Genomic DNA, 11,091 nt, shown 5'->3' on the forward strand with positions numbered 1-11,091 from the left:
AACACAAGGAGACCCTGTCTCTACAAATTAGCTGAATATGGTGGCATATGGCTGTGGTTCCAGCTACTTGGGAGGCTGAGAGGTGGGAGGATCGCTTGAGCCTGGGAGGTCAAGGCTGCAGTGAGCCATTATCATGCCACTGCAATCCAGCCTGGGCAACAGAGCAAGACCCTGTTTCAAAAAAAAAAAAAAAAAAGATCTTGCACTGCATGGCATCTGCACCCAGCAGTTTACTCTTGCTAAGGTGTTCAAAGGTCAGTGCTATAGAAATTCAGTATCTGGCATCATTGGTTTTCTTGACTTTGTGCTTGTTAAACCTAGTATTTCTATTGATACAGTATTTGTATAGATTTCACAGAGTGCTTAGTTTGATATACTCTATAACAGTAAGCAATGCCTTTCTTCTTCCAGGGTGTTGAATTGAGAACCAGGCAGATCCACCACCTACAGTAAAGATGACCCTAAAGTGAATTGGTTGAAGAAATTAGATCCCAAAGATTCTTGGTGAATTTTCAAGTCTTCATCAGTATATCCATATTAAAAGGAGATGACAGAAGCCAAAATAAAAGAATTATGGGCTGACGGGACAACTGGATTAAAATAAGCATCAGTTTCGTTAAAAAGGGCTAACTTGAAGATAAATCTTTTGACTCCAGCTCTTTAGAGGATCTAAAGTGACCCTGATGGACAGTGGAAAAAATCACAACATGGAATCCCTTGGATAAAAATCTATTGACTTTGAATAATTTTGCCTAATGTTACATAATACACAATTAAAAAAAAAAAAAACCTTGGCCAGGCATGGTGGCTCACACCTGTAATCCCAGCACTTTGGGAGGCCGAGGTGGGCAGATCACAAAGTCAAGAGATCGAGACCATCCTGGCCAATATGGTGAAACCCTGTCTGTACTAAAAATAACTTACCTGGGCATGGTGGCACTCGCCTGTAGTCCCAGCTACTCGGGAGGCTGAGGCAGGAGAGTGGCGTGAACCCAGGAGGCGGAGGTTGCAGTGAGCCGAGATTGCACCACTGCACTCCAGCCTGGGCGAAAAGAGTGAGACTCCGTCTAAAAAAAAAAGATTATAGATAGGCCAAAGCCAAAACCAGGGGTGCAAAAGGGAAATAAATCAGGAGCCAAGTACCAAGTGTCAGGATCAGGATCCAGAAAGGCAGGATACAGCAGAGACACTAAAACCAGGACCATGGTAAAAGTGAGACACTGGAGAAAGAAACCAAAGAGAACACTGTAACCGGGAGCCTAGCTAATCTTGCAGTTGGATTGAGAGGCAAACTGGGTGATTTTTCCACTGGCTGACCTTTTAGAAGTTCCAGACATGTTCTCCCAAAGGCACTAAGTTCTGGGTCCCAGAGAAGTGGGCTCATGGCACGGCTGATCTCAGAGTTGGTGCTTGTGCAGCTCCTGACACAAGGTGCCCCTCTAAATGAAGAGCCAAGGAGCACACGTTTATCGAAGGTCTACTTTGCGCCCCTTGTGGCAACACTCATACTTGGAGGCAGAGGCTACCATCAGAATATAAATTTTATCCTCAGGAAGATGAGAAGACAACTGGCTTAGAAACTAGCTTAGAACATTTCCAAGTTTGACACAGGGCCAGGGGCTGTCAAGCCTCAACCACAATGCAATCAACCACCAGCTCTATTCCACAGGCGCATGTCCAGGTCGGCTAATAAATGGAAAAGCCAGGATTAAGATTCAAGTTTCGTCCGGTCACGGTGGCTCACTCCTGTAATCCCAGCACCTTGGGAGGCCAAGGCGGGCAGATCATGAGGTCAAGAAATCGAGATCATCCTGGCCAACATGGTGAAACCCCGTCTCTACTAAAAATATAAAAATTAGCTGGGCACAGTGGTGCACGCCTGTAATCCCAGCTACTTGGGAGGCAGAAGCAGGAGAATCGCTTGAACCTGGGAGGTGGAGGTTGCAGTGAGCCGAGATCTCGCCACTGCACTTCAGTCTGGGTGACAGAATGAGACTCCGTCTCAAAAAAAAAAAAAAAAAAGATTCAAGTTTCTTAGCCTGGGCAACAACGACGACAAAAAATTCGGAGCTTATGGTGGTGCAGGCCTGTAGTCCTAGCTACTCAGCAGGCTGTGGCAGGGGGTGTCACTTGGAGGCTGCAGTGAGCTATGATTGCACCACTGCACTCCAGCCTGGGCCACAGAGCAAGATTCCGTTTCAGAAAAAAAATAAATAAATTTGGGCCGGTCTCGGTGGCTCACGCCTGTAATCCCAGCACTTTGGGAGACTGAGGCCGGTGGATCACCTGAGATCGGGAGTTCGAGGCCAGTCTGACCAACATGGAGAAATCCCCGTCTCTACTAAAAATACAAAATTAGCTAGGTGTGGTGGCGTATGCCTGTAGTCCCAGCTACTCAAGAGGCTGAGGCTTGAACCCGGGAGGCAGAGGTTGCGGTGAGCCAAAATCGCGCCATTGCACTCCAGCCTGGGCAACAAGAGCGAAACTCCGTCTCAAAAAAATAAAATAAATAAAATAAATAAATTTTATCAATCATGGTGGTGTTTTTTGTTGTTGTTGTTGCTGTTTGACAGGGTCTTAAAAATAAATAATTTAAGTAAATAAAAATAAATAATTTCCTGATTTTCCAGCTTGCAGATAGCATATTGAGTAAGCCAGCTCCCCTAACAAACCTTCTATGGCTCTCTAAATATATCGTATTGGTTCTGTTTCTCTGGAGAACTCTGACTAAATACATCGGTCTAGAACCTAACTCTATTCTGCATATAAGCACTGAGTATTGTAGCACATTGTTTATTTTACTTTATTTTATTTTTATTTATTTATTTATTTATTTATTTATTTATTTATTTATTTATTTTTGAGATGGAGTGCAGTAGTGTGATCAGCAATCCTCCCAAGTAGTTGGGACCACTGGTACACACCACCACACCTGGCTAATTTTTTCTTGTATTTTTTGTAGAGATGGGGTTTTGCCATGTTGCTCCAGCTGGTCTGAAACTCCTGGGCTCAAGGGATCCACCTGCCTTGGCCTCCCAAAGTGCAGGGATTACAGGCAAAAGACATGGCACCGGGCCTCATGTAGGTGTTTATAATGATCTCGGTTGTGATGGTTAATTTTATGTGTCAGCTGGACTGGCTTGAGGGATGCCCAGATAGCTAGTAAAACAGTATTTCTGGGTGTCTCTGGGAGGTGTCTCTGGAAGAGATGAACATTTGACTCAGTAGACCAAGAAAAGAAGATCCAGCTTCAACGAACGTGGCGGTGTGTGGGGGCATTATCTAATATATACAGGGCCCTGAATAAAACAAAAGGGTCAAGGATGTGAGAATCCTCTCTTCTTCAACTAGGACATTCATCATTCTCCTGCCCTTGGACATCGTAGCTCCTGGTTCCTGGTTCTTAGACCTTTGGCCTTGGACTGGGACTGAATTACACCACGAGCTTTCCTGATTTTCCAGCTTGCAGATAGCATATTTAGTGAGCCAGCTCCCCTAATAAACCTTCTATGGCTCTCTAAATATATCCTATTGGTTCTGTTTCTCTGGAGAACTCTGACTAAATATATCAGTCTAGAACCTAACTCTACTCTGCATATAAGCATTGAGTATTGTAGCACATTTTTTATTTTACTTTATTTTTTATTTATTTATTTATTTTTGAGATGGAGTCTTGCTCTGTCACCCAGGCTGGAGTGCAGTGGCACGATATCAGCTTACTACAACCTCTGTCTCCTGGGTTCGAGCGATTCTCCTGCCTCAACTCCTGAGTAGCTGGGACTACAGGTGCACGCCACCACGCCCAGCTAATTTTTGTAATTTTAGTAGAGACAGAGTTTCACCATATTGGTCAGGCTGGTCTCGAACTCCTGACCTCAGGTGATCCACCCACCTTGGCCTCTCAAAGTGCTGGGATTACAGACATCAGCCACCACGCCCAGACTTATTTTATTTTATTTATGTATTTATTTGAGACAGGGTCTTGCTCTGTTGCCCAGGGTGGAGTGCAGTGGTGCACCTCGGCTCACTGCAACCTCCGCCTCCCAGGTTCAAGTGATTCTCCTGCCTCAGCCTCCAGAGTAACTGGGACTACAGGCGTGCTCCACCACACCAGGCTAAATTTTTATATTTTTAGTAGAGACGGGGTTTCACCATATTGGCCAGGTTGGTCTCCAACTCCTGACCTCGTGATCTGCCTGCCTGGGCCCCCCAAAGTGCTGGGATTACAGGTGTGAGCCACCGCACCCAGCCTTATTTTATTTTATTTATGTATTTATTTGAGACAGGGTTTCACTCTGTTACCCAGGCTGGAGTGCAGCGGTGCAATCATGGTTCACTGCAACCTCTAGCTTCCAAGCTCAAGTGATCCTCCCACCTCAGCCTCCTAAGTAGCTGGGACTGTAGGCATGTGCCACCACACCCAGCTAATTTTTTTTTTTTTGAGAGGGAGTCTTGCTCTGTTGCCCAGGCTGGAGTGCAGTGGCACAATCTCGGCTCATTGCAACCTCTGCCTCCCAGGTTCAAGCAATTCTCCTTCCTCAGCCTCCCAAACAGCTGGGATGACAAGGATGTGCCAACACGCCCAGCTAATTTCTGTATTTTTAGTAGAGACGGGGTTTCACCATGTTGGCCAGGCTGGTCTTGAACTCCTGACATCAGGTGATCTGCCCACCTCAGTCTCCGAAAGTGCTGAGATTACAGGCGTGTGCCAGTGCACCCAGCCAGACCCAGATAATTTTTGTATTATTTGTAGAGATGGAGTTTCTCTCTTTCTCTTTTTTTTTATTTTTACCTTTCACCTTTTTATTGGCCTCCTGCTCCTCAAAGTGTACCCTGTTTCTTCTGGCTTAATGTCTCAGAACTTTGGTGTCGTTGGTCTCACACACCTCTTTACCATCCACTATCTGGGGGGTGGTGGTCTTATGGATGGTTTGCATGGAGTTGCTGCTGTCCAGGGCATCACAAAGATTGAAGTCCTCGTCGTCGTCTAGCAGGTGGCGATAGGTGGCGATCTCAGCCTCCTGATTGACCTTGATGTTTAGCAAGGACCCGTTCTCCTGGTCCTGGCGCTGCCCCTCTGCCTGGGAGATGGAGTTTTACAATGTTGCCCAGGGTGATCTCGAAATCCTGATCTCAAGTGATCCACCTGCCTCAGCCTCCCAAAGTGTTGGGATTACAGGCGTGAGCCACCATGCCCAGCTGCACTTTTTTTTTTTTTTTTTTTTGAGATAGTTTCTCTCTTGTTGCCCAGGCTGGAGTGCAATGGCTCAATCTTGGTTCACTGCAGCCTCCATCTGCCCAGTTCAAGCGATTCTCCTGCCTCATCCTCCCAAGTAGCTGGAACTACAGGTGTGCGCCACCACGCCCAGCTAATTTTTGTATTTTTAGTAGAGACAGGTTTCACCATGTTGGCCAGGATGGTCTCGATCTCTTGACCTCGTGATCTGCCTGCCTTGGCCTCCCAAAGTGCTGGGATTACACGTGTGAGCCACCGCGCCTGGCCCCAGCTAATTTTTTGTATTTTTAGTAGAGACGGGGTTTTGCCATGTTGGCCAGGCTGGTCTCGAACTCCTGGCCTCAGGTGATCCACCCACCTTGGCCTCCCAAAGGGCTGGTATTACAGGCGTGAGCCACCACTCCCAGCCCCAGCCACCCATTTTAAATAATCGTGAAAGTTTTAGGGATTCGACTATCATATAAATTCTGTGCTTCGTTTTGTGCAGGGCCCTCCCAAAAGTTATTTCCTCTTTTGGAAAGGATGTCACTACTGGCCACAGTACCCCTGGTATTTAAGTCAATGATGTTGTCCACCCATCCCAGTCTGTCTTTGTAGTGTGCCAGTTGGGATGACTCCATAGCTACGCACAGGCATCTGGTTACTTCCTTATGTCTTCTAGTGTAGCCATGCCCAAGCATTTACATATTGAAATTTTGTATCTTATTTACCTTATTTTATTATAAATTAAATGCCATTTATTTCTCCTTTATATTAGGTCATTGTATTGTGGAGTTTCATTTTTGGAATTATGTGCATAAGTGGGTTATTTTCTATATTAATTTCTTTTTTTATCTTCAACTTTTAAGTTCTGGGGTGCATGTGCAGGATGTTTAGGTTTGTTACATAGGTAAACATGTGCTACGCTGGTTTGCTGCACAGATCATCCCATCGTCTGGGTATTAAGCCCAGCATCCATTAACTGTTCTTCCTGATGCTCTCCCTCCCCCCTCAACCTCCCCGCTCCCATGAATTTCATTTCAGGAGAACAGAGAGAGTATTACAAAATGTTTGGTTAAAAGGAGGGTAATGGGCACGATCCAGTTGAAAATGACTGAGCAGACAAGGATATGGCCCTAATCACCATCCCCTTCACATTTGGTGTGGCTTTGCATGAGATCTTAAACTCTTTAGGAAAGAGCTGCTTTTTTTTTTTTTTTTTTTTTGAGACGGAGTCTCGCTCTGTCGCCCAGGCTGGAGTGCAGTGGCGCCATCTCGGCTCACTGCAAGCTCCGCCTCTCGGGTTCACGCCATTCTCCCACCTCAGCCTCCCGAGTAGCTGGGACTACAGGCACCCGCCACCATGCCCAGCTAATTTTTTCTATTTTTAGTAGAGACCGGGTTTCACTGTGTTAGCCAGGATGGTCTCAATCTCCTGACCTCATGATCCGCCCGCCTCGGCCTCCCAAAGTGCTGGGATTACAGGCGTGAGCCACCGCGCCCGGCCGAAAGAGCTGCTTTTACACACTAGTTAGCATTCAGTGTGTATTTGGTTTAGAGAAAGGCCAGCAAAAAAATCATCCAGGAACCAGGCACGGTGGCTCACGCCTGTAATCCCAGCACTTTGGAAGGTCGAGGTGGGAGGATTGCTTGAGCCCAGGAATTCGAGACCAGCCTGGGCAACATGGTGAAACTCTTTCTCTACAAAATAAATACAAAAGCTAGCCGGGCATGGTGGTGCACTCCTGTAGTCCCAGCTGCTTAGGAGGCTGAGGTGGGAGGATGGTTTATGCCTGGGAGGTTGCATTGAGCCTGAGATCGTGCCAATGTACTCCAGCCTGGGTGACAGAGGGAGACCTGGTCTCAAAAAAAAAAAAAAAAAAAAAAAAAAGCAAAAACAGCAAAGGGATTATCCAGAGCAGGCAGAGGATAGCTCCTTTGTCCCAGATCCCTTGCGGGTATAAGCAACCTCCACTTCCTGGATCATAAGTAGCAAGGAACACCCAGCCACAAAAACCTGCCCAGTTACTCAGTGTGTCAGAGGCGTTTAAACCAGAGCGACTCCATCTTGAATAGGGGCTGGGTAAAAAGAGGCTGAGACCTACAGGGCTGCATTCCCAGGAGGTTAGGCATTCTAAGTCACAGGATGAGATGGGAGGTCTGCACAAGATACGGATCACAAAGACCTTGCTGATAGAACAGGTTGCGGTAAAGAAGCTGGCCAAATCCCACCATAACCAAGATGGCGACGAGAGCGACCTCTGGTCGTCCTCGCTGCTCATGATACGCTAATTATAATTCATTGGCATGCTAAAAGACACTCCCAGCGGCAGCATGACAATTTACAAATGCCATGGGAATGTCAGGAGGCTACCCTACATGGTCTAAAAGAGGGAAGAACCCTTGATTCCGAGACTTGCCCACCCCTTTCCCAGAAAACTCATGAATAATCCACCCCTTGTTTACCATATAATCAAGAAATAACTATAAGTATCCTTAGTCCAGCAGCCCAAGCTGCTGCTCTGCCTATGGAGTAGCCGTTCTTTATTCTTTTACTTTCTTAATAAACTTGCTTTCACTTTATGGATTCGCCTCTAATTTTTTCTTGTGCAAGATCCAAGAACCCTCTCTTGAGGTCTCGATTGGGACCCCTTTCCGGTGTTAAAGCAAACTAAATATGGCCTGAGAAGGACTCCGTATTTCTATATTTGAATCCTTGTGGGTGAACCAAAACCTAGCTTAATAGGTAGACAATATTGAAAACCTAACCTAGAAGTATGCACCTGTAACAATAGCTAGGTCTTGGCCAATGCCTGTGGCCATACTTCAGCCATTCATACACTGCTGAGTGTTCAAAGTCTGTTCAAATAAGGGAAACAACGAGGTGTAACCAATCCAGCTGTTCTTTACCTTACTTCCAAATTCTGTACGTCATTTCCCATTTTTTGTCTATAAACCTTCTTCCACCACGTGGCTACGCTGGAATCTCTGAATCTGCTGTGATTCTGGGGGCTACCCAATTTGCAAATTGTCATTGCTTAATTAAACGCCATTAAATTTAATTCGGCTGAAGTTTTTCTTTTATCACCGGTAACAACTGCGCAGAGAACAGCTGCAGACACTAAATGGAACTGAAGAGCACAAGCCCTGCCTGGGAAGGTCCGGAGGGTGGGAGGATGCTGAGTGGGGAGGAGGGGGTGCAGGGGCGCGGGGGTGTCTCTGAATGCAAATAGACATTGCCAGGCTAGGTGCAGTGGTTCATGCCTGTAATCGCAACACTTTGGGAGGCCAAGGCGGGCGGATCATTTGAGGTCAGGAGTTCAAGACCAGCCTGGCCAATATGGTGAAACCCTGTCTCTACTAAAAAATACAAAAATTAGCCGGGCATGGTGGTGGGCGCCTGCAATCCCAGCTACTCAGGAAGCTAAGGCAGGAGAATCGCTTAAACCCGGGAGGGAGAGGTTGCAGTGAGCTGAGATCGTGCCATTGCACTCCAGCCTGGGTGACAGAGCAAGACTCCGTCTCAAAAAAAAAAAAAAAAATATATATATATATATAGCAAATAGACATTGCCCTCCCCCTTTTCCCTGGAAAGTATCTCAGAAGATTCATCTTTTCTGTTTGGCATTCATTATGGTTTTCCAAGGCCCACAGGAGGTCCTCCCTTCTTCAGTCCTATGATGATGAGGACTTCTCAACAGTCCTATCCATTCCACTCCATAAAAGTTCTTGCCTATGTAAATTTTCCTCTGGGGATCGTCAGGCCTCCCCTCTTCTTGCCAATTCAGGACTGCCAACCCACCCTTTCAAATCCTGGCTTTGGACTTGATGTTTCAAAGCTTTCCTTCCTTCTTTGTTTGCCCTTTCCCGAGACTCAATACCAGTTCGCCTTTGCACCATGACCCAGAGCACAGGCCTAACCCACCCTCACTGGAGAATCAATTTCGGTATTTTCCATTGCCTCATAACTGCTGACCGATCATGTCCTCTTTCAAGCCCAGACCTGACTCCCAAGCTCCTGGCCTGGGCTAGAATCCAAGGCCCTATTTGCCAAGGAGAAGAGGTTGGACAGTTTTTCCAGCTGCTGCCTTGCTGAAACCAGAGCCTCATACCCGGTACCCTGACCTCATCAGTCCCATAGTTTGCATTACTCGTCTCTCAGAGGTGAGGAAGGGCTTTCACCACCAATATAACATTTTTTTTTCACTTTTGGAAAAGAAATTAAGAGCATCCAGTGTCCAGTGTCTACCTCCAAGAGGAATAGCCCTGTTGGAAAACCTAAATTAGCCATTTGGGCAGCTCTCCTATGTATTCTGCAAAGTCCTATTCTTTAGGGCATTTCTTGGGTTTGTACTGACCCACTGAATTTAAATGCTAGTGATAGAATCCAAGATTATATTCGAGATATCACTCCTTCCTTACACCTCAAACACAAACCAACAAAAACCCAGACATTTGCTAGGTGTAAAAGTCCATTAGAATTCTGAATACAATTTGATTTTTTTTCTTTTGATTATTTAGAAAGTATCTAGAGTATTGTGTCATGCAGTGGATTTTCTGGCAAATAAGAAGTCCATTCTGACTTGCCTTTAAGCCGCCTTCTACTTTGGATTCCTTTCCTCCTCTTTCTTCCCCATTGGTCACCTTTCCCTACAAAAATGATCAAGCTCCAATTCCCATCCTTCTCCCTGTCTGTGTCTTGCAAATTTCACAAGCCTCTGGTGTCAAAAGCATGTTGATGGCCCAGTCACTGCTGCTCCTGCAAAGCAGTCAACTAGGTTCCTGGAGCTCCAGCCTTCCTGGCTTCCCCAGGGAGATGAGAGTAAGCTCTGGTTTCAACAATGTGGGGGATGTCTTAGGGTAGGGAGAGGCTCAACTTCGAGTTGCAGCTGGTTTGTCCTAGGGTATTTAAAATCAAACATATGTGGCTGGGCAAGGTGGCTCACGCCTGTAATCCCAGTACTTTTTAGGAGGCCGAAGCAGGTGGATTACCTGAGGTTGGGAGTTTGAGACGTGCCTGACCAACATGGAGAAACTCCGTCTCTACTAAAAATACAAAATTAGCGGGGCGTGGTGGCACATGCCTGTAATCCCAGCTACTCGGGAAGCTGAGGCAAGAGAATCCCTTGAACCCGGGAGGCAGAGGTTGCGGTGAGCTAAGATCGCACCATTGCACTCTAGCCTGGGCAACAAGAGTGAAACTCCATCTCAAAAAAAAAAATCAAACATATGTTGCCTTGATTAATTTTCTCCCAAAACCCTCTCCTGTCTGGACTGCATAGGAGATTCATATTCCTTCTATTAACACAGCGTTCATCCTGTTTCTTATAAACGAATCTGTTTTGCCCCGTGCTTAGCACGTGAGCCTGCCCATGTTCCTTGCTCACAGTTGCATGACAAAGCATCCTACCTCAACTGACAACCATTGCTGGCAGGCCCAAATTGCCGGGAGGTTTCTTGGCGCCTCAGGGGATGGGAGCAGGATGAAAATTCAGCTCACCCAGCCTCATTACAATTAGGATTATTACTCGTGTCTCCATGCCCAGCCTGTCAGGCTGGGAGTGCCCGAGGAAGTGAGATTTGCTAATTCTTTAAATATTGAGTCAGCAAGGTATGACCTAAATAGTAACTCTCTATTAAATAGAACTTTAATTACAAAACAACAGCAATAACAATAAGAGCAAATCTGTTTTTCCAGTCTAGATATTATTATCTAGGTCAGGCCAGATAACCAGATTTACTGTACAGACTTCATGGGGCTGCTTTTGGAATATGTACAGCACCATAACCACCCTGATGTTCCTGTTTCCAGGCCATCAAGTTCAAATCGAAATCTGAGAATTCCTATCAGGAAAGCTCATGACCGCCCTTTGAGA

The 11,091-nt window shown here is 46.1% G+C and overlaps 1 non-coding gene across 1 annotated transcript; it reads left to right on the plus strand.

The window, feature by feature from the left end:
• The first annotated feature begins 201 nt into the window (after positions 1-201).
• Positions 202-340, plus strand: LOC124900398 (small nucleolar RNA SNORA8). Its single transcript, XR_007065991.1, has one exon. It is a non-coding gene; the product is annotated as a small nucleolar RNA SNORA8 (small nucleolar RNA).
• The last annotated feature ends 10,751 nt before the right edge of the window (positions 341-11,091 follow it).

This window comes from Homo sapiens, chromosome 17 (assembly GCF_000001405.40).
Source record: "Homo sapiens chromosome 17, GRCh38.p14 Primary Assembly".
Classification (NCBI taxonomy): domain Eukaryota; kingdom Metazoa; phylum Chordata; class Mammalia; order Primates; family Hominidae; genus Homo; species Homo sapiens.